Source organism: Homo sapiens, chromosome 5 (assembly GCF_000001405.40).
Source record: "Homo sapiens chromosome 5, GRCh38.p14 Primary Assembly".
In the NCBI taxonomy this organism is placed as follows: Eukaryota; Metazoa; Chordata; class Mammalia; order Primates; family Hominidae; genus Homo; species Homo sapiens.
The window spans coordinates 150,341,502-150,364,498 of record NC_000005.10 but is presented as its reverse complement, the minus strand read 5'-3'; the positions used below and the strand labels follow the sequence as shown (position 1 = coordinate 150,364,498).

The following is a 22,997-nucleotide window of genomic DNA, read 5'->3' as shown; positions in this document are numbered from 1 at the left end:
TACACCAAATGAGACTGGAAGGGCCCATCTGGTTGTTTTGGTTCGGCCTTGCACCCCCAGAGCATGGAGATATAATGCCTGGCACGGAGGAAGGGCTCAAATACTGCCAAAGATATGTGGTGCCCTCCCAATCTCCTCCCCAGGGTCTTTTAGGTCTTCTAGTGATAAGAGAAGAAGCTGGAGGTAGACTCTACCCTAGAACAATCAATATTCCATAGCCTGTTCCCAAAGCTGCAAGGCTCTTACTGGCTTTGGCGGTTTCGGCTTCTGCTTCTTCCTCCTCTTCCGAGCTCTCCGAGGTGCTGATGGGGTCTGACACACGGGTTTTCTTAGCTTGCAGTGCCGCATCTTCCTCTGCCTTCCGCTTCCGACCAAGCTCTGAGGTTCTGCAGGACAAGGGTGACTGTCTATACCAACTGGGTGACAGAACAACTCCACAAGAATTGACTAGACAGACCTTCCCGCATCCTTCCAGCTCTTAAAGGCAATGTGCATAGAATCTAAACAGTGGTGAAAACACAGTATAGGCACAATTTTGTATTCTGCATTTTCACTCACTTCATAAAGTGCTTTTACAATTCTTGATTAGTCTTTAAAATAATCAGGAATGCTGGATAATGTTATATAACAGCTGCAGCAGCTACCAGTCTTTAAGTGATAGGAGCTGACCCATGCAGGCACCTCACAGAACCGCCCAGGCTCTTCCCCCTGCAGAACATGCTGTGTGTACTGTGCCTTCTTGGAAGACTCTGCCCAGGTCCTCGTCCTTCCCGTCTCAACTTTAATGTAGCCCCCCAAGAGAGGCCCTCGAAGATTGCCCCTCTTCCAAGGCATGCTCTGCCCTGTGATCCTGTTTCATTTTCTTCATAGCTTTTCTCTATCTCCTGTTATTTTACTTACTTCCTAGACTCCTCCCCTACACAGAAAGGCCCAGGGAGGAAGGCAGCTGGCAGCTCACTACAGTATCCTCAGTGCCTCACACATGTCTCAAAAACTGAACAACTAAGTGACTTGCTCATGGCAAAGTGAGTCTAGGGCATGGGTAGGATAAGCACCCAGATGGCTGAGGCCCTGGACTTTGAAGTCTCACGCCCATTGACCCCCATCCCAGGGAGTCACTGTCTAGGCCCCAGGTTTCCCAGCTGCGATGGACTCTGCTCTGTCATGGTTTGGGATGTGATAGTAGGGTCCCTTGTTCCCAGGAAAGCCACTTGTCAGGATTCTCCTGTTAAAAACAGGTTTCATTTTTACATGTATCAATTTATTCTGCCTCTTTTCCCCCAACAAAAATGTTGAGCAGGGATTTTTCTCTGGTTTGTTCCCAGCTATATCAAGAATATTGCTGGGTTGTAGTAGATGCTTAATAAATACTGAGGCGGGTGCAGGAAGTCGGGGAGCCTCCAACCGGTAGTTTTAGCACTTTATATGGAGCACTGTGTCTAACCCTCACAATGCAATGAGATAATTGCCATCATTATTTTCATTTTATAGGTGAAGACAGACTCAGGGAGGCCAAGAAATCCACTCAAGGTCATACATACAGCTAGTTGCTGGGTTTGAACTCTGCAGGGAATTGCTAGGCTAGGCTGCCTTTCGTGGGTTTGAGGTCCTTGTCCCCCTCACCCATAGAAGGGGCCAGTGGCAGGGAAGAGTGTGCAGAGTAGCTCACTGAAGCAGTTTTTTGGGGGAAGGAAGTACTACGAATAACACCCACTCACCTGGGCAAGTCAGGGTGAGGAAGTGTGGGCTGTGCCCTGTGCTCTAAGCTCTCCTTAGCAGCAGAGGACTGAGGGTTGGCAGGGTTTTCAAAGACCTTAGCTCTCCACCAGAGGCTGTAATCCCTTCCACACCATTTTTGCCTTTGTTTACACACCTCTAATGACAGGGAGCCCACCACTTCCACCTAGCCCACCTCATTTTTAGATAGCTCTGATGTCATTATATTCAGAAGCTGAAACCTGTCTTCCTGAAGCAGGTACATTTGGGGCCCACTTCTGTCTCCGGGGCCTCAGAGAACGCACTATTCTTGGTCCTCAAAGATGTGCAGTGGTCCCTCACACCCCTCTCCTGCCTCCTTTCCATCCAAGGCAATTCAGTACTCTCTACCATTCCTCATGGGATATGTCTGCATGTCCTTCACTCCCTTAGTCAGCTGTGGTCAGGCCAGTGCATGAAGAGAACACAATTACTCTCTCCATTTTCCAACCATTCCTCTGTTGATATATCCTTGGATGATTCCCCCTTCCTTGAAGAGTACATAAATTTTACATGTTTAAAAGGCATCTCACACTCAACATGTCATTGAAATCTTTCCCCTCCAAACTGAGTTCCCTTCAAGCTCTATGCATGGGTACACAAGTTAGATGTGGAGTCAATAAGATACTTCCTCTCCCACCCATCCACAGGCCCTGGTTTCATCCCTATGATTCTTGGGAATCCACTTTCTACCCTGTTCTCCCTGTGTCAAGCCCCATCAGCTCTTGCCTGGACGATGGTGACCATGGCCCCACCAGTCTCACCATGGTGCAGAGCAATCTCCTCACTTTTTCACCCTACCATGGCCCCACTGCTCTTGGATAAAGACAAAATTCCTCACCATGGATAACCAGCCCATGCATGGCTATCCATGCGATGACCTAGCCCCATCTGTACTGTCCACCAGCCACAGGACTTAGCATTAGCAATTTCCACTGGCAGGTACACTCCACCTGCCACTCTCTACCCACTGCATAGTTCACTCCTCCAATTCCTATAGCTCTCAAGTCAAAGATCACCTCAGGGAAGCTTCCCCTGGACCCCCAGATGAAGCCAGACTTACCCATTTATGTGGCTGTGGCAACAGATTCCTCTCTTTTGTAATCCTTACTACCACTGTAATTTAACATTCATTTGTTTCATTCTTTGACTTATGCCTACCTCCTTGGCTACAATGTCAGCTGCAGGAAAGAAGGAACCATGTCTGTCTCACTTGTGACAATATTTGCATACTAAGTAAGAACAGGACTTGGCTTTCAGGAGGTGCTCAATATACGTTTGCTGAGCAACTGACAAGCTGGTGAGAAGCTCTTGTTCTTAAGAGATCACAGCTCTCAATGTCCCCTCCCACTACCAGATATCCACACAGAAATACCCATCCATGTGATGTGAGCTGGCTTTCTGGAGGCAACAATGGTGTCCACAGTGGGCTATGGGGACAGATCTTAGACCAGATAGGTATCCCAGCTTATTCCAAGCTGAGTTGCTTGGGGTGTCCGTCCCTACTCCACCCTATAGGCCCCACCACTTACTGTTGCCAGTGTGTATAGATGTCCAGAAGGGTTACGGGCTGAGCCAGGAAACACTTCTGCAGAGAGGTAAAGAGAAAGCCACAATTAATCCCCAGCACAGTAAGGATCCTTCTTGGGCCCAGATCTCCCCAAACTCATGACTTGTATAGACAGGTGGTTCAGAAGAGGGTCTTTTTGGCTGGGCATGGTGGCTCATACCTGTAATCTCAGCACTTTGGGAGGCTGAGGCAGGAAGATCACTTGAGCCCAGGAGTTCAAGACCAGTCTGGGCAACATAGTGAGACTGTCTCTATAAAAAAATTTAAAAATTAGCTGAGAATGGTGGCATGCACTGGTGGTCCCGGCTACTCAGGAGGCTGAGGTGGGAGGATCACTTGAGCCCAGGATATCGAGGCTGCAGTGAGCCATGCTTGTGCCACCGCACTCCAGCCTGGGCAACAGAGCAAGACCCTTTCTTTAAAAAAAAAAAAAAAAAAAAAGAGGGTCTTTTTGCTCTGGGAAGTATGTCTGCTTGGCCCTGCCAGTTCTGTCCCAAACCTTCCAGAGACAAGAAGAACAACCAATCCCAACTAAAACCTTTTTAGACAACCCCTTTGAAAGGCCAGAGGTGGAATGTTCCAAGCTAGCATTCATCCAGCTCCCAGCCTCTCTGGCACTATCCATGCCTAGAGGCCATGAGACAGGGTTTTCCCCACCTTTGACCTTTAAAAAAGCTTTCAAAGACGTGGCCAGCCAATCTTCCCAAAGCACGAATCACAGCCCAGACACCTGAGGCATCCAGGTGGCATGACCACAGTCTACTAGTCTGCTGGGAGAAGACTGGGCCCAAATGGTACCAGTCCCTTGGTGGAAGCAGAGGGAACCAGGTGGAATCCAGGCCTTTGGAGCAGAGGCCAGAGGGCCCAATGTCTCTGTAAATGTCAATAAGCCAGGATATCAAGTACTCTAATGAGGCTAAGCAATGTGGGGCACGGGTGGACTGAACTAATCTCGTCACGTCTTCGAACTTCAGATTTCTTCTTAACATGGGGACAACAGCGATACCTACCTTGCAGGCTGCTATCTGGTTTGAACAAGACCATCTGTCAGTGCCCAGCAGTGAGCCGGTAACACTAAGATTTCAAGAGTCAGTTTCCCTCTGCTCCACCTCAGGCAAAGTGTCCTCCTTGCTGTCCTCAAATGTGTCAGGCCACCCTGCCTCTAACGCGGCCTTGCTATTCTTCTTGTCTGGAATGTTCTCTCCCCTGTTAACTACACAGCTCACTCCCTCATTTCCTTCAGGTCTCTGCCCAAATGACACCTTCTCAATGAGACTTCCTTGACTACCCTACTTATAATCGAAGTCTGACATCCCTTATCCCCCTTGCCTGCCTTTTATAGCAAGCACCAACTATCATTGGATATACTATATCATTAACTTATTAAACTTTTTCTATTTGTCACCTGTCTGCTCCTACTAGAATGTGTGCTCCATGACGGCAGGATATTTTGCTCCAATGAAGATGGGTACTATCTCTTGCTCCCCTTATCTGTGAAGTACCATAGCTGCGGTAGGAAGAGCAAGTGAGGTTCAGAGAAACTGGGAAAAGCATACATAACGTCTTAGGGCCCATCACCCTTTAGTCCCTCCAGGAGGTTCTGAGAGCAAGCATTAGGAGCAGAGCCTACACCACAGGGCAAAGGGATCTGACTACTTAGGATACTGTCTCACCAGTTCAAAACTCTCCATTGGTTTACCACTGCTCTTCCAAGGAAGATCAAACTGCCCACCAGACCACTCCAGCCAGCCCCTGCCTCCATCTCCCCAGGGGCATCTGGCCCTTGTACTTCACACTTCAGCCACTATGGACGTTTTTTTTTTTTTTGAGATGGAGTCTCGCCTTGTCACCCAGGATGGAGTGCAGTGGCTCAGTCTCAGCTCAGTGCAACCTCTGCCTCCTGGGTTCAAGTGATTCTCCTGACTCAGCCTCCCGAGTAACTGGGACTACAGGTGCATGCCACCATGCATGGCTAATTTTTGCATTTTTAGTAGAGACAGGGTTTCACCATGTCGGTCAGGCTGGTTTTGAACTCCTGGCCTCAAGTGATCCGCCTGCCTCGGCCTCCCAAAGTGCTGGGATTACAGGCGTGAGCTACCGTACCTGGCCTGCTATGGACTTAAAAAAAATTTTTTTTTGAGACAGTGTCTTGCTCTGTTGCCCAGGCTGGAGTGCAGTGGCATGATCATGGCTCATACTGTATCCTCAAATTCCTGGGCTCAAGAGAGTGGACTTTCTCCAGGCCAGTGTGTACACAAGTTCCCTCCCACCACAAGGCATTTACACCTCAGCTATTCCTGACCAGGGCAATCTGCCATCCATCTCTCTTTTTTTTTTGAGGCAGAGTCTCGCTTTATCGCCCAGGCTGGAGTGCAGTGGCACGATCTTGACTCATTGCAACCTCTGCCTCCCGGGTTCAAGCAATTCTTGTGCCTCAGCCACATGAGTAGCCAGGATTACAGGCGTGCGCCAACATGCCCAGCTAATTTTTGTATTTTTAGTAGAAACGGTGTTTCACCATGTTGGCCAGGCTGGTCTCGAACTTCTGACCTCAGGTGATCCGCTAGTCTCGGCCTCCCTAAGTGCTGGGATTACAGGCGTGAGCTACCGTGCCCGGCCCATCCCTCTCATTCTTAACACTTATTGCGGTGCTAAGCATATAGTCACTTTTGTGATTCTTTGATTTGTCTACCTTACTAGAGTGTAAGCTCCAGGAGGGCTGAGAGATGGTGCTCACCATTCGAACACCAGGAAGCACCCTGAGTACCGGATTAACAGTTGAATTAATCAAGTAAGAAATGACTGTACCACGAGTTCGAGTACCAAAGCTGACCGTCTCAGTACAGACAATCGCTAAAGGCCTGAGTTCCAGCTCAACTAAGAGGCTGTAGGGTCCCTTTTCCAGGCGCTCCCCCGAGGGGCTGGTCGCAATCCACCCCCGAGACTCGCAGCAACCTCCTTGCCCCAGGGGGGGCCGCGCAGAGCCTAGCCACGTGGCGGGAGACTTAGGAAACTTAAAATACCCGCTACCAGGAAGGGCGTGGAGGTAAGGGAAGCGGGAATTACAAAGTTCGGCCCCTGCGAGCACACTTTCTGGCCCAACCCACTGCCCGGATGAGGAAAGTGAGGCCCAGGGGAACTGAAGTCGCAGTGGGAAGGCAGAGATTGCGGCTCCTCCGGTACCCCTGGCCGCGCCGTCGAGCACTGCGGGACCCGGCTCCGGGCGCCTGCCGGGTCGCCTGGGGACGGGGCGCGGGCCGCGGGCCGCTGATCTCCACATCTTGCACGCGGCCCTCGCACACGGCCCACGAACGCTTACCTGGCCGCTCTGCTCCTTCACTTCCCGCGCCGCACGCACATAGCCAGCCCGCAGCAGATGGTGGTAGATCAGGGGAAGTAGCTCCCGCCGCTTCCTGGCCTCGGCCATACCCGCGACCCCCGGCCGGCCGGCTACCTGCACGCCCCGCCTTAGTCCCCGCCCGCCACTTCCCTCGCGCCCTTAGACCTCGCGCGCCACACTTCCGGCTCCTCTTTCGCTCCGGCCGCGCGGCGCGCCGGGAAACGTAGTCCCCTCTCCGGGAGTGGCCGGCCCCGCCCCTCAAGGCGAAGGGGGCGGAGACTCGTGATCAACAATACCGCCCATTGGCGCGGAGCATGCGGGGCTAGACAGGGACCCGCCCCCGGGGCCGGCCGGGACTTGGACGACTCTCTTTTAATCCTTCCGGCTGGCTTCTTGAAGAGATTTATCTTCCTTGTTAATTCTCTGATGGCTGGGTCTGCGTTTTACTCATCTCTGAACTCCCTAATCTGGATCTTTCTCTAGATCCGAACTTTGTACTGCCATTACCTGCTCATTTATCCATTTCGCACGGTTTTTGGTGCCCATGAACCAGACACGAATTGCCAGTTTATTCATTGATTCATTCGCTAACTGAACAAATCTGTAATAAGCACCTAACTTGGGCTAGCACCCGGCTAGGCTAGGGGGATTCAAAAGATGCATAATACATGGCAGTTGCCCTCAAAGCTCACAGAGACGACTGTCCGTAACCAAGCAACTATAGTTCAATATCTTGTGTGCCTTGTCAGGGACAGATGCAGCCTATGGGCGCCCCAAGGAGGAGCACCGAACCCCAGAGAGATATCTAAGCTGAGGCATAAAGACACCCGAAATTGCTGGGTGCAAAGGAGAGGACTGGCAGAGGGCACTGCATGAGTCTAGGCATGAGAAAACACCCTGCTATTGCCTGGGAACCCTAAACCCAGAACCCCTAGTCTGCGCTGCTGGGCTGTCCAGGTGGGGTGGGGTGAGGTGGGGAAGAGGGAACAAATGAGGGCACATGAGGATGAAGAAGTAGACAAGGCCTACAACTCCCCCACCCCCAACAGAGTTTGGACTTTGCTCTGAGGGCATTAGATAGTCTCTGACTGGCTTTTCCGAGGAGGTTGACCCTGTTTTGTGTTTTTAAAAGATTGCTAAAACCAAAGCACATACCATTAATACTAAATGTGAGGCTGTTGTAGTTGTTGAGGGAAGGATGGCAGGGAAAAGGTGAGGTAGGCTGGAGAATGTTAGAGTGAGCTGTTCTTAACTTCACCGACCCATTGAGAATCTGAGGGCAGCATGTTTCTTACGGGCGCAGGAGTCCCTAACCCTAGGAGGTCCAGGTATGTGGTTATCTTTGTCTTGAACTTGAATGGAAAATGTTATGTGTCTGTACACATTCAACATTTCCCATTTTCTTGAGCAAATATTTATTGAGTACCTACCATTGGGGATGGAATAGTCTCTACTCCTATAGAGCTTACAGTCTAGTGATGGAATTGTCTCTACTCCAATAGAGCTTACAGTCTAACGGAGGAGACACATACTAAACTAATAGTCATACAATACAGTGTTACAAACAGCGGGTAAGTGCAGGAAGGAAAAGGATAGTGTTTTCTTATGTAATAATATAGTGTTTAAAAGCTGCACTGGAGTCACACTGCCTGGGTTCAAATTCTGGCTTTGCCTCATTAACTAGGTGACTTTGGGCAAGTCACTGTGACTCAGTTTCTTTATCTGTACAATGGAGATAATTATAATTTCTACCTCACTGGGTTGTCATAAGGAGTAAATGAATTCTCAGCAGAAATGCTTAGAGGAGCTCTGAACAATAGCGCTCTCTGTGTGCGTGTGTGCTATTATTGTGAAAGCATATAACAGGAAGGAGGGATCTATTTTTTTCTTGGGAGTTAGGGAAGGATTCCCTGAGAAATTAATGGTTATGAGGAAACCAGAACTGTGTGTAAGGGAGAGTCAGAGAGAAGAAACCTGAGCAGAGGGAAGAACCTGTGCAAAGGGCCTAGGGCAGAAGGTACAGCTGAGAGAATAGACACAAAAAGGCCTTTGTAGCATAGTCCGGAGGGAGAGCAGGGGGACTGGGGAGTGTAGAAGGTGGGCAGAGGGCAGACTCCATGTGAAGGATTGGCCACATCAGGGTTTTTTTTCCTCCATCCTAAGAGCCATTGGAAGCCACTGACGGTGTAAGCCCAAGAGGTACAGGATGAAATCTGAATTTTACTGTGACCTGTGTGCCTGCCCAGTGGAGAGTGGAGTGTGTCTGGTGGGTATGAGTAGATGTGGGAAGACAAGTCAGGGTTAGGAGTGCAGGCAGGCATCCAGGGAGAAGACAGTGTATGTGGGGGGGGGGGGCGGGTGGTAGGTGGCGGGGGCAGCGGGGAGGGTGCTGGTGGCAGTGGAGTTGAAGAGAGTGGAAGGTTCCCAGAGTTAATCAGGAACTAAAGTTTTCACAGAGGTGTGTTGGAATGGGAGGGGAAGGAAAAGGCAATGTCAGAATGGACCTTGAGGTTTCTGTGCAAACAAGTAGGCAGTATTTTTCACTGAGATAGAAAAAACTAGAAGAGGACTGAGACAGGGGGGTGGTTTGATTGAGGAGAGGAGGATGTGGACAGAGAGGTGAAAGTATATATTCTATGTTAGACATCTTGAGCTTGAAATGCCTTACAGTCACCACATGCAGATGTTGAGAAGGTTCTTGGAAACCTGGGTTTGGACGTGGCGTGGAGGTCTGGGCTAGAGATGAAGATGAGAAGTTGTCGATAGACAGATGATAATTGCGGCTGTGGATGAGGAGAAGCTTACCCAGGGAGAAGAATGTGGAGAGAGAAGAGAGATGGCCCAGGATGAAGTTTTGAGGTACATCTACAGATTAGGGCTGTGTACAAAAGGATCTGCCTGCAAAGGCTGATCAGGAGTGGCTGGACAGCTTGGAGAAAGCCCAGGAGAGTGGGCTTATGGAAGGAGGCCAAGGGAGACATTTTAGAAAGCTGGGAAGACTTGATGGAGGGAATGCTCTGAGAGGTCAGATAGGAGGAGGGTGCAGCCCTGGGCTTTGGTTTATGGACAGGCGTGGAGATTGTTGGGGACTTAGGGAGGGCTATTTATGTGTGGCATGATGGAGGGGGTCAGATGGCAGTGGTCTGATGAGTGCAGGAGGGATGAGGGAGGCAGTGGGTCTTTCGAGAAGTTTTTGTATAAAAAGGACGAGAAAGATAAAGTGCTAGGGCCAATATGTATGTTAGGGGAGGTGTGTTTCAAGGTAGAAGAAACCTGAGATTTGTTTAAAAGTGAATGGCAGATCCAGGAGAGAGAGGTTAACCAAGAGTGTAAGAAATAGGGGAGATAATCAGCGAGTAAAGTTCTCTCAAGCATGTGCGAGGGGCTGGGATCAGGCATGTGGGTTGGGGGGGTTCGTCTTGGGGAGGAGGAGGGATGAGTTCTCTAGAACCCAAAAGCAGGAACAAAGAGAGGATGGGTGCAGATGTAGATGTAGGTTTATAGTGGGATGTTAAGGGAGATTTCATTTTGAGCTTCTATTTTTTCTGCAAAGTGGGAGGCAAGGTCTTCTGCTGAGAGTGAAGAAGAGGTGGTGAGGAGTTTGAAAGAATGATCATTCAGAGTGTTGAGAAGCAACTTGCCCACAAAATCCCCAATTGCCTGACAGCCTTGGCTCCCCAGTTGAGGTTGGTGGTCCTTAGTGTATGTGTGTCTCGTCCTGTCCTGCTGAGTGAATTCCTCCATCAGGGCTCACCTACCCAGCTGCAGGCTGGGGAGATGTATGTACATAGTGGGATTTATCCAGGCCTAGGGCTTTGCCAGATGGGTGGGGAAAAAAGGGCACAGGAGTCTAAAGTATTGGCAAAGAGATGCTAAAATTCTGGGTCCTGGGATCTACACTGGGTAGCGAGGGAAGCAAGGCAGATGGATGTTTGCAGGGAGAGAGTGGAATCCTTCACGGGCCAGGCCTTATGAGGGACCCCTGAGATCAGAGAGGGCTGGGAGCTGGAACTGGTGGTGACACCCAGGTTTCTGCTTGGGTGGCTGGATGGGTGATGAATGTACATGATGAGCATACAAACCATTGTAAGATCTAAGATTTTTTTCCACCAACACCTCCAGGAACCAGTTTTCATTTCCTCGAGGGCATCAAGGCCCCATTTGAGAATGCATGCCTTAGTAGAATGTAAACTCCCTGAAGGCAGACTTACCTTTGCCTTGTTGGTTGCATTATTTCCAACATTTTGCACAGTGCCTGCATACAGCAGGCACTTAATAAGTATTGGCAAGTGCAGGAATGGTTACAGACCTCTCCTGAAGAAGAAGGGAGGGCAGGGCAGGCAAGGTGCTCACTGAGTTTAGGCCTGGAGGCAGGAATGTGGAAGGCTTTGGAAGGCAGTGGGGAAGGAACTGGATTGTGCATCCTTGGCTGACCCTGGAAGAAATGCAGAACTGGAATTAAATTAAAGAACGAAAACAAAACCACACCAGGATTGTCTAATACCTTCTGTCTGGCAACAGGTTGTTTTTGTTTTGCTCCTAATAAAATTCATTGTCGGCACTTATGCTTTGTCCTCGGCTCCTGGGAGGCTGTCTCTTCTGTGGACAATTTCTTTATTTCCCTCATTTTCCAAATCATACCCTTCACTGAATTGCCTCAGGGCCCAAGCACAAAATTAGAACATTAAACTGATAAAATATAACATGGCAACTATTAAGACAGCAACAAACAAAACAGTGCATTAAAAAAAAAATTAGCCTCAGAGCATTTCTCTACCAGTAAGAGAAAATGCCTTTGTTAGTGGTAGAAGCCAGATGCTCCCAGACCACTGAACTGCGAGTGCCTCTTGGGGAAGCAGCATGCTTTAGTCACCTTGGATTCCCATGCAGGGCACGGCGAGGTCACTTAGGAAATGAATGAAGGAAGAATGAACAACAGAAGAGAAGGAAGCTCAACAGATGGGGCACTCTACCTGTCTCTCCCAGCAGGAATGGCTCTGACACAGAGGTGGGAGGTAGCAGCGATACAGGGGAAAGGTTACTGGGCCTCTCCCCTGTGTTACTGTCAGGAGTCAGGCCCTTTTCACCTGGCTCAGCTGTGTGACCTTGGGCCAGTCTCTTGCCCTCTCTGGTCCTCAGCATTACCTTCTGTTAAATGAAGCTGTTGAACAAAGACCCTTCCAGTAGTGGAACTCTTAAGAGAAGGGCCCATCTGGGAAGGGTGCCCTTCCCAGTAGCTCCCTTCATCCATTGTAACAACAGGTTTTCCCTGGGCCAAGTCATTTTGGCCAGTAGATTTCCCAAGACTTCCTTCCCTTTCGTGAAATGACACGAAATCTTTAATCTCACAGGAGCTTTTAAAGGTTTACAAGTTGTTACTGAAGTAACAAGTTAAACAATTCAGAGATATATTAAGACAAAGTCCATCATTTTTCCCTCCCTCTTAGCCATTCCCTGCCCACTTCTCCACACTAGAGCCTCTTCATTTCCCAATCAGAAAGAAGCCTGGTATTCAATCCCTTCACATCCTTTCTCTGCCCAGACAAACACAGACATCCTTCATAAGGTTTAGTCCTCCTTCTCCTTTTCCTTTTTCACTTCTCTTTACTTCTTTTCTTTTTTCTTTTTCTTTTCTTTTCTTTTTTTTGAAACGGAGTCTCGCTCTGTTGCCCAGGCTGGAGTGCAGTGGCATGATCTCTGTTCACTGCAACCTCTGCCTTCTGGGTTCAAATGATTCTCCTGCCTCAGCCTCCCGAGTAGCTGGGACTACAGGCATGTGCCACCATGCCCAGCTAATTTTTGTATTTTTAGTAGAGATGGGTTTCACCATGTTGGCCAGGCTGGTCTTGAACTCCTGGCCTCAGATGATCCACCCACCTCAGCCCCTCAAAGTGCTGGGATTACAGGCATGAGCCACTGCACCTGGCTTCTTTGCTTCTTTTCTTACAAAAGGGAATCATACTAAACACTCAACTCTGCAACTCTCTTTTTTCACCTAATAACAATACAGCAGAGCTATTTCTCTAGATGCTGGGATCTGCCACACTCTTTTGAGTAATAGTAACAGCTATCATTTGTTGAGTGTGTGCAGTGAGCTGGAGCTGTGCTTCCAGGCTCTAACACTAACCAATCAAAACCTCACAACATCCTATAAAGCATGTCAAATGGTTGTAGATGAGGAAACTGAGGCTCAAGACAGGCTCCAGCTGCCAGAGGGCTCATAACCAGTCCCTCAGTAGGGCCATCAACAGACAGAGATGGGAGATGATATGATACAGGTTATTCGCCTCTAGTTTTTTGGCTAATAGAGTAGTGTTGCTCTAAATATCCTAGTAAATACATCCTTGCAGACTGGAGCTTTAATTCTGTATGATGTAATTGCAAGTGGACCAGAGGGGATGCATGAGTTTTATTTTAATAGCTAAAGCCCAATTAACTGCCAAAAGGGTTGTAGCAATTCATAGCCTCATCAGCATAATTTCTTATTTTTGTGGTTTTATTTCTCAGAGCTAGAAGGGTCCTTGGAGAGCATCTAGCCCAGCTCACTCCTCTTGCTGATAAGGAAACAGGCCCAGTGACAGGAAGTGACTCGACAAGGACCCCAGCAGGTTAGAGGCAGAGGGAACTACCTGTCTACCTTTCCCTGGGCCATTGCCACATCCTCTTCCCTCTGCGCTGCCCCTGCCTTGTCCTTTCCTGTCCACTCTCCACGCTGCACTTGGCATCACATCACTTCCCTGCTCATTAAACCTCCCCTAGCTTAACCGCTGACCACAGGCTCAAGTCACAGCTTCTTCTTAGGCATTCAAAGCCCATCCCAGTCTGTTCTCTGGTGTGTCTCCTATCATCCAAACCAGCAGCTAAATCTTGAGTACTCTCTGTCCTCAGAACATCTCACTCCCTTCACACCATTTGGACAGAACTGCCTTTTTGCTCTTTGAAGTTTGACTGTTTCCTATTTATGTTTCAAAGCCAAGTGCAAAGGCCGCCTCTGCAATGGTGCCTTCCCTGACTGCCCAGCCTTCCAACCCTGGGCAGTCAGTCATCTGTGTTCTGCAACAAGGTGGCCCTGCCTCCACCCCTGGCTGCTTCCTCCCGGAGGTCATGTGTTGCAGAAGAACCAGCCAGGAGAGGGCAGTGCACAACCAAAGAAAGTTCTCTCAAAAGGTCAAGGTCACCAGAGTGCCTGGGGCCTGCCCAGTGTGGCCACCTGTGGATATCAGGTTCCACCCCAGTGGCAGGACCTTTGGCTAGCTCCACCCCTCCGTGGGCCTCAGTTTGCATCTCTGTGCAAAGGCAGGGTTGGACTAGCTCAGTGTTTCTGAAAGTGTGGTGATGCACAAAGTGACTTCAAGAGATAAAAAGATGGACATTTTAAAATGGAAATCATTATGTATTTATTTTAATGTGTATTAGACAAAAAATAACTAGCACATCAAACCTGTTATTTCGCAGATATTATTGCTTAGAATGGGGCTAAAGTAGGCATTCAAGTAAAAAACAGTGAGTCAATGTAAAAGAAAGTACCAATTAAATAATATACAGGTGGTAAGACAGCAGTGAATGGCTGCAATCGGGAAAACATTAGTCTGCTTTGATGTTCTAGAATGCTGTGATTTGCAGACTCCTGCCTTTGGTAGGGGTGGAGACAGGGAGAAGGAGCTGCTCCAGGGCTGGAAGGCTGGGCCTTGGGCAGAGGGTCAGGAACTCAGCAGATGGGCCCTGTGCCCCTGCCCCCCAGACCCTCCTCCACCTGTGGAGGGTACGAGGGCTGGCTCCCCCTCCCACCTTCTTTCTCAGCTTCTCTGCGGTTACTAAGGAGTGGGAGGCTGAAAGGGGCCTCATTCTGGAAGCTCATCTGCTCCCTCATTCTCACCCAGCACCCTGCTTGGCATAAACTATTCAGGGTGATGATGATTAACAAGGATGCAGGAAGGCACTGGGGGTGGGGAGAGAAAATAGGCGATGTGGACAGAGTTTGCTCACATATCTGAATGTCCAACCTGCCACGATTGTCTAATGATTCCTAAGCTTAGCTGTGCAGTGGAATCACCCGGCTAGTCAATGGAAATACAATTCCAAGGCCTCACATCAAGCAACTCCCATTTTGGGACCCCCACATCTGGGCTTTTAAAATCTCTCTAGTGGATTCTGAGGCTTCAAGGTTTCGAAGTGCACACCTCCCTCAGTGTACCTGTCGAGATTCAGAGAGGTTGTGTCACTTACTCAAAGTCACCCAGCAAGTCAAGAGCAGTTGTCCTGACTCCCAGCTCAGTTCTTCCCACTGAGTGTCCCTTGTTGAGCCTAGTCCATGGTTAGCAAAGACAACTCCGCTGAAAAAGTGGTGGGGTTTCTTTGAGCCTCCCTCTGGGCTTGTCAAGGACTTTCTACAGAAGAAAACAGGCTGTATGAGCTACCATCTGCTGAGAAGGCCAGACGGGTGGCGAGGGATGGTGGTGGGAGAAGGTGGAGGGAGATGCCAATGGAGGGGGTGGCTGGGAGACGCGGCCTCCTCTCACAGTTGCCAGCCTGAACAGTCAGCCTGCTGAGGGCAGGAGCTAGTCCGCATGCATGCCATTAGCCATTGGATTTTCACATGGGATCCTTAAGGAAGAGAATTAGGGCCAATGAATGGGAAGTTAATTCCAGATGAAACTCTCAAACAGTAATCAGTGACCTGGAAGACAATTGACCTTAGGGCAACTGTCCAGCTCCCTGATTTTTAATAACTAAGATATTTGGCATGTGAAAAATGCAGGGACACACACATACAGTTCCATGTTCCCATGATCTAGATTTCTTTCTTTCTTTTTGAGACAGAGTCTTGCTCTGTTGCCCAGGCTGGAGTATAGTGGCACGATCTTGGCTTATTGCAACCTCTGCCTCCCAGGTTCAAGCAATTCTCCTGCCTCAGCCTCCCAAGTAGCTGGGATTACAAGCATGCGCCACCAAGTCCAGCTAATTTTGTATTTTTAGTAGAGATGGGGTTTCACCATGTCATCCAGGCCAGTCTCGAACTCCTGACCTCAGGTAATCCAAATGCCTCAGGCTCCTAAAGTGCTGCGAAAGGTGTGAGCCACCATGCCCTGCGTAGATTTCTTTTACTTTTTTTTTTTTTTTTTAGAGACAAGTGTCTTGCTCTGTCACCCAGGTTGAACTGAGATGGTGATCATAGCTCACCGCAGCTTGAAATTCCTGGGCTCAAGCGATCCTCCTGTTTCTTCCTCCAGAATAACTGGGACTACAGGCACACACCACCATGCCCAGATAATTTTTAGAAACTTTTTGTAGAGACAGGATCTTGCATTGTTGCCCAGGCTGGTCTCGATCTTCTGGCTTCCAGTGATCCTCCTTCTGCCTTGGCTTCCTAAAGTGCTGGGATAAGAGGTGTGAGCCACAGCAGCCGGCCTAGATTGTGAAAAAAGACATTTCAAATACATAAGAGCATCTCAGTTCATTTCCCTTCCCTTTGCCCAGAGATAGTCACCAGCCCATTCCCGGAAGTTGGCATGAGTTGTTCCTGCACATGTTTATGTATACATGCTATACATGTATTCATTCATAAAACATAGAAAGTGTTGCTTTGTAGCTTTAAACTCTTTGTAAATGACATAATATTGTGCATAGCCTTCTGCAACTTGCTTGTTTTCATTCAACATTGTGTTTGAAATTTATCCACATTTGATGTGCAGAGCACCAGTATACACATATCCACTATTCAATCAATTTCATTGTAGGGGCATGTACTACAGTTTATCAATCCATTCTCCTGTTGATGGGCATTTGAATGATGTCCAATTTTCCATAATAAAAACCGCACTGCCGTGACCATCCTCATGCGTGTCTTGCATGTGCCTGGGGAAGAATGGCCGGGTGTGTGAGTATCTTGGGGCTCCCTGCCATTGCCTGACTGTATCTGAAAGGGTCAGTTTCTGTGGCTCCACATCCAGACTTGACCTGGCAATAGTCAGACTTTGGGATGTTTATCACTCTGATGGGGGCCAAATGTCTCTCGTTCTTGTTTTTAAGTTCTATTTCTCTGAAGAGTGGAGTTAAACCGTTTTCATAATTGTGCTAGTGGTTTGGATTTCCTCTTCTGTGGATCGCCTCTTGTACCCCCTGTCCGTGTTTCCATGGTGCTGTTCGTGTCTTTCTTATTGATTTGCAGGAGCTCTAATCTTGTGGTCTGCTGCGACTGTCTTTTGTTAGTCTGTGAATTATTTTTTCACTTTATGTATGCAGTCTTGCGATGCACAAAGGCTTTAGGTTTGAATATAATGAACTGCGTCAATGTCTTCCTCTATTGTTTGGGGTTCTACAATCCGCAGCAAGCTGAGGCCATTTCTTGGTGTGGCACCCTCCTCAGGAGGCCTTGACCTCAGGTGGAATGTTAGCACGGGCTTTAGAGCAGGGCCCACTTGGGTTGAAATTCAGGCTGAGTGATTTATAGGCTGGTGAACTTGGGGATAAGTCATTTTACCTTTGGGTTTCAGCTTCTTTACTTGTAAAATAGGGAAGAGAACTGTCTTGAGCTCTCAGGGGTGTTATGAGGCTGGAGGAAGCAGGTCAAGGCACAGTGGGAAGTCTTGAAATCCCCCAGGGAGAGGGAGGACTCACTGAGAAAAGCCTCAGAAGACGCTGCTCCCTGAGAGCCATCCAGTGTGAATGTCCTAATCTTGCCTGGCCCCAAGATTACAGTCTCTTCAAATCTAACTTTGCATCTGCAAGTGGAGCTGAGTCTCTGGAGGAGCTGGGACATGCGAGACATGAGACACCAGTCTCCCTCCTTTTCCCTCCCACCCATGGCCCTGGGTTCTGAGCTGTTCCTGGGGCCATGCTTGGTGACTCTGGAAGCAGGAACTTATGGAAGTGGCATACGTGATGTCTCAAGAAAACCGGAAGAGGACGGAGGATGTATCCCATGGCCTCCATACACCATGGCCACTCAAAGCTGCCCAGTCACCCTCGCAGCAGGGTGGGGAGGGCATCTGAGGGCTCCAAGAGAATATTTGTCTGGGGAAAGAAAAGGACACACGTGCCTGGTGACTCTCACTCATATGTGACCACGTGCCAGCCCACACAAACAGGTCTCTTGAGGCCATGGCAGGGGGCTACCCCATCACCTCTGAGCAGTTCAATCCTGGGCACAGCATACACAGGAACAGGTTTGGAGGGGAGGTGGGCAGAGGCCTCTGGGTCCAGCAGCCTCTTGGACAAGGCCATAGAACCCATGGCAAATAGGTCTGGATGATGCCTCCTTCTTCGTCCCACTTACTGACCGCGAGTCACCCCACCATCACCACCTCTGAAAGGTCAGCCTGCTCACACGGCCAGAGCACTGGATTCCAGTGGAGAATGTAGTTCAAAAACTGAAACCTGTTTTTGGAGAAGATGATGTATACACATGATGCAAACGTGTAAAGGTATGCAAAGGGTACCGAGAAAAGTAAATCTCCTGGGCTCCCATCCTCTGTTCCCCAGCTTCTCGGTTCTCTTCCCAGGAGGATGCAATATTACCAGGGCTTAGATATGACTGCATACACACACACACACACACACACACACACACACACACACACACACAGAGGCACACAATATTGATAGTAGTACATTATATACACCAAGGTAAACCTTGCTTATTTTTTCACCCCATCTTCTCTCCCACAAATGTGGACCTGGAATGTAACAGGCGAGAGTGAATGCAGAACGGATGCATTAGTGGATGAGGTGGTGGAAGGATGAACAATGTCCGTCCAGGTGCAGGCTTTTTCTACTCTGTGTTTTGAGACTCATCCTGTCCCTGAGAGGATCTCTCTCCTTTGGCCCATTGCTGCAGGTGGGTAAATTCAGGCCTTCTTGACCCTGGCACAGAGCCATAATGGGGGAACTAAGTGAACCAGGCAGCTGAACAGCTTAATTGTCATTTCCACCAGCAGATGGTTACCAGGGAAACTCAAAGAATGTTAGAACAGGGACGGGTTTTCAGGCAATGTGGAGGCAGCCTGACAGAATCTCAGAATGGGAAAGGGGACGGTTCCGACAAGTTCTTCAAGAGTTTGATTTTTAATTTTCATTTCAATGATAATCTAAAATAATTAAAGATTTTAACCGGATGCAGTGGCTCATGCCTGTAATCCTAGCACCTTGGGAGGCCAAGGCGGGTGGATTGCCTGAGCTCAGGAGTTTGAGACCAGCCTGGGCAACCCGGTGAAACCCTGTCTCTACTAAAATACAAAAAATTAGCTGGTGTGGCAGTGCGCATCTGCAATCCCAGCTACTCGGGAGGCTGAGGCAGGAGAATTGCTCGAACCCAGGAGGTGGAGGTTGCAGTAAGCTGAGATTGCACCACTGCACTCCAGCCTGGGAGACAGAGTGAGACTCGATCTCTAAAAAAAAAAAAAAAAGAAAAATTTTAGGCCAGGCACAGTGGCTCACGCCTACAATCCCAGCACTTTGGAAGGCTGAGGCGGGTGGATCACCTGAGGTCAGGAGTCCGAGACTAGCCTGACCAACGTGGTGAAACCTGCCTCTACTAAAAATACAAAATTAGCTGGGTGTGGTGGCAGCGCCTGTAATCCCAGCTACTTGGGAGGCTGAGGCAGGAGAATCGCTCTAACCCGGGAGGTGGAGGTTGCAGTGAGCTGAGATTGCACCATTGCACTCCAGCCTGAGCAATGAGAACGAAACTCTGTCTCAAAAAAAAAATTATATTTTTCGATAATTTGAACATCTGCCTTATAACATTGTATGGACAAGTGATTTCAATGCTGTGTTGATGTTTGCCTTTGTGATCACACTGGCGCTGGGGTAATCAATGACTTTACAGCCACCTGAATAAACCAAGATTTTGCTGTAAATCAAACTTAGAAGGTTCTTAAATTTGTGTCTGCAGACTCCTAAGATTTCTGGGCATATTCTTGGGCCAGTGAGAATTATTTTGGAGGCATCTGTATGTTACTCAAGTATGAGAAACCCTGGTGAGGACAAAAGGACCCCAGGCAAGAGTTGGAAGCTTGGATTCGGCTCCTGTCTCTGCCTCTTCTTATCAATTGGGTCACTTGGACTCTTCTGTCTCTTCTGCTTTAATTTTTCCACCAGTAAAATAGGATCAAAATGCCTTCTTCACAGCATATTAAGAACACAAAATGAGGTAGTGAATGTGAAAGTTCTGACTTTGTAAGCATCAAGCATTTCATCTTATAAAGGAGGGAAACAAGACTTGAAGAGGTGAAATGACATCTCTGTTATCAAACCATCATCGGCAGAGCTGGGCTGGGAGCTTGGGCTTCTAACCCTCAGTTGCCCTGGGCACGTTGGCCACTAGCAGTAATGGTGTGACTAATTCTGGAAAGCGTAATAACATCTCAGGTGGGGCCTTTTGCTATTTGGGCAAACATGCTATCTTTATTTTTATTTGTTGAGAAGATTAAATTAGGGAAGCCAAACAAATAAATAAGCACATTGAATTTCCCACAGCTATACCTCTCTTCCTGGAGCAAAAACAAACTCTTTCCTCAGGCAGAAGGTCAGACAGGAGGCATGTGGGGACAAAACACCCAGGTACTTCAGTGTCAGCCTCCTGGATTTGCTGTTTTGCTGGGTTGAAGGGCCACTGAGCCAGGCGTGTGGGCTTCATGTCAGCACCCAGCTGCTCTGAGGAATGTGTTTCAAGGTTGGGGGCACCCAGGGCAGGCTGAGAGTTCCAGAAAGCAGGGACTTTGTGTGGCTACTGCTGTTTCTCCCAAGCTCAGCTCGGTGCCTTGCACATATGGGTGTGCAATCAATATTTAAAGAATAAGGCCGGATGCCGTGGCTCATGCCTGTAATCTTAACACTTTGGGAAGCCGAGGGGAGTGGATTGCCTGAGCTCAGGAGTTCGAGACAAGCCTGGGCAACATGGTGAAACCCAATCTCTACTAAAAATACAAAAAATTAGCCGGGTGTGGTGGCACATGCCTGTAATCCCAGCTACTCGGGAGGCTGAGGTAGGAGAATTGCTTGAACCCGGGAGGTGAAGGTTGCAATGAGCCAAGATCGTGCTGTTGCACTCCAACCTGGGGGGACAGAGCGAGACTCCATCTCAAAAACAAAACAAAACAAAACAAAAAACAAAACATAGGAATAATGGAAGGAAGGAATGAATGACTAGAGTCACAGTCTTTGTGTTAAAATATTTGGAGTGGTCTCAGAGAAGATGTATCTTGCAAGTCCAGGTTCAAAATCAGGAGATCAGGAAACAAGGGATCTCAGGGCAAAATGGTCTTCTGGCCTGGATTTCAGGAATCAGGGAGGTAAGTAGGAAGTGAGGCTCAGTGCAGAGGCTGAAGTCAGTCACAGTGGATCGACTGACTGCTTTGCTGTATCAGTCTGTTCACTGAGCGTCTTCCTCTGTGTCAGGCTCTGTGCCAGTTGCTGGGGATCCCAAGTGAAAAAGGCCCACATGCCAAGAACTCCCACCTATGGTAATGTGCCCCTACTAGTGAAGAAGAGTTTGGACTTTGAAATCACAAAGACATGGGCTCAAACCCCAGCTCTACGATGTATGACGTTGGGCAAGTTATAGTACTTCTCTACGTTTCAGTTTCCTTACCTGTAAAATGGGATTAAGAATGCTAACTGCTACCTTGAATGGTAAATAAGATACAACCCTAAGGCACAGAGTGAGCATGACCATCTGCCTGGGCTTGGATCCCACTAGAAAATGAGCCTATCTCAGGTCATGAGGTCAGGAGTTCAAGATCAGCCTGGCCAACATAGTGAAACCCTGTCTCTACTAAAAATACAAAAATTAGCCAGATGTGTAGTCCTGTAGTCCTGTAGCCAGACCTGTAGTCCCAGCTACTCGGGAGGCTGAGGCAGGAGAATCGCTTGAACCCGGGAGGTGGAGGCTGCAGTGAGCCGAGACCTCACCATTGCACTCTGGCCTGGGCAGCACAGCAAGACTCTGTCTCAAAAAAAAAAAAAAAAAGAGCCCATCTCTTCTGTCTGCCCTGAACCCTGCAGGAGCTTCTTTGAGCTGACAGAAGGAAGTGGCTTGGTTGGGCATCTCCCTTGCATGGACCTGAGGTTATTTATAGTTGTTTGGTTATTGTGGTTGTTGTGGTTATTGTTGTTTCTATTAAGAAGATTGATTCTACGAATAACCTTGTGCATTTCTCTTGGTGCATGTGAGCAAGGGTTTCTCTAGGGTGGACACAATAAAAATAAACAACTGGAGAGGTGAGGGCACTGAGCAATCAGAATGGACGCTGTGGAGCTGGAATGTGGTCCTGGGGGTAGTCTATGGGGTATTAACATTTTAGTTGTTGGATCATGGGGAGTTTGGGTGGATACCTAAAGGAAAGGCTGGGGGCAGCTGGATCACAGGTGGTCACAGGTAAATGGGTGGGGGAGACTTGGAATAGTAGCTATTTACCAACTGGCATGGAAGAATTTCAAGATTCTATCAACCAGTGTGTTCACAATGGTAAGCATGGGTGTGTATGTGCTTGGGAGTATATGTTGCCTAGGAGGGGAACTGTGAGACTGCAGGGAAAGTGATCGATCAGCTTTACAAGATCATACTGGAATGATTTTCCAAGTCACTTATTCCCATAGACATTCCTCCCAGCAGTGTATAAGCATCTGGTTGATCCACATCCTTGCCAACACTTGGTATTGTCAGGCTCTTTAATTACTTGCCAATCCAGTGGGTGTAAAAGGATGTCATAATGGTCTCAATTTGCATCTCTCTGAATTCTAATAAGGTTGAATATCTTTTCATATGTTTATGGGCCTAGAGCTGTTTGCTTGAAAGTCCTGGGTCCTATATATATTAAATATGTGCAGTTTTTGTTTATCAACTACACCTTAATAAAGCCATTAACACACACACACACACAGACACACACACACACACACACACACACACCACAAAGGCCTGTAATTTTATCCCTAATACAATGGCTAACAGTTAATAGGTGCTCAATAATATTGAATTAAAAAAAAGGGGAGCCTGGTTCCCTCACACCACAGTGAACATTCCACTAAATGCCTTGGACAGCAGCCAGGTAGAGCGGTAAGAGCACAGGACAGGGAGCAAGGATACCTGGGTTCCAGCCTCAGGATGACCACACCATAACTCTGTGGCCTTAGGCAAGGCGCATTGTGTTTTCTGACCTTCACATTTAGAATTGGCCAAGTTGAGGAGAGGCTTAGTCTGCTCACAGGGAGGGCAGTTAAGGGATCAAGTGAGATTATGAAAATCGATGTGTTTTGGGGACTGAAAAGTCCTGCACCAGTCAGGGATTAGTGTTCCCTCTCTGAAGACAATTTAAGAGGCTCTGGAGCGCA

The 22,997-nt window shown here is 48.4% G+C and overlaps 1 protein-coding gene and 1 long non-coding RNA gene across 52 annotated transcripts in view, besides 5 other annotated features; one reads left to right on the top strand and one right to left on the bottom strand.

Annotated features, from left to right (window-relative positions):
• TCOF1 (treacle ribosome biogenesis factor 1) overlaps nucleotides 1-6,802 on the bottom strand; it is a 42,597-nt gene extending 35,795 nt beyond the window's left edge. For all 50 annotated transcript variants that reach the window (XM_005268502.5, XM_005268504.5, XM_005268506.5 and 47 more), the window contains exons 1-3: nucleotides 6,645-6,802; nucleotides 3,288-3,343; nucleotides 247-386 (exon numbers count right to left, since the gene is read on the bottom strand). In XM_005268502.5, coding sequence (XP_005268559.1) covers nucleotides 247-386; nucleotides 3,288-3,343; nucleotides 6,645-6,752 — 304 coding nt within the window. In that variant the 5' untranslated portion in view covers nucleotides 6,753-6,802. The remainder of the gene's footprint in view (nucleotides 1-246; nucleotides 387-3,287; nucleotides 3,344-6,644) is intronic.
• Nucleotides 1,731-1,870: a silencer, noted in NCBI's record as "silent region_16509". NCBI's record gives its function as "represses an Ori minimal core promoter by ATAC-STARR-seq in GM12878 lymphoblastoid cells {active_cell/tissue: GM12878}" and the evidence as "EXISTENCE:reporter gene assay evidence [ECO:0000049][PMID:35858748]".
• Nucleotides 6,375-6,594: a silencer, noted in NCBI's record as "silent region_16508". NCBI's record gives its function as "represses an Ori minimal core promoter by ATAC-STARR-seq in GM12878 lymphoblastoid cells {active_cell/tissue: GM12878}" and the evidence as "EXISTENCE:reporter gene assay evidence [ECO:0000049][PMID:35858748]".
• Nucleotides 6,675-7,014: a silencer, noted in NCBI's record as "silent region_16507". NCBI's record gives its function as "represses an Ori minimal core promoter by ATAC-STARR-seq in GM12878 lymphoblastoid cells {active_cell/tissue: GM12878}" and the evidence as "EXISTENCE:reporter gene assay evidence [ECO:0000049][PMID:35858748]".
• Nucleotides 7,079-11,226, top strand: LOC105378226 (uncharacterized). Of its 2 annotated transcripts, XR_944407.3 has the most exons (4): nucleotides 7,079-7,993; nucleotides 8,829-8,931; nucleotides 9,336-9,524; nucleotides 10,219-11,226. It is a non-coding gene; the product is annotated as an uncharacterized LOC105378226 (long non-coding RNA). The 2 variants fall into 2 exon arrangements; XR_007058993.1 differs by having other exon boundaries at nucleotides 9,336-11,226.
• Nucleotides 7,615-7,784: an enhancer, noted in NCBI's record as "experimental_82342 CRE fragment used in MPRA reporter constructs". NCBI's record gives its function as "activates a minimal promoter by MPRAs in K562 erythroleukemia cells, with activity observed for both the introgressed and non-introgressed 5:149736363 variant alleles {active_cell/tissue: K562}" and the evidence as "EXISTENCE:reporter gene assay evidence [ECO:0000049][PMID:34662402]".
• Nucleotides 13,892-14,021: an enhancer, noted in NCBI's record as "active region_23400". NCBI's record gives its function as "activates an Ori minimal core promoter by ATAC-STARR-seq in GM12878 lymphoblastoid cells {active_cell/tissue: GM12878}" and the evidence as "EXISTENCE:reporter gene assay evidence [ECO:0000049][PMID:35858748]".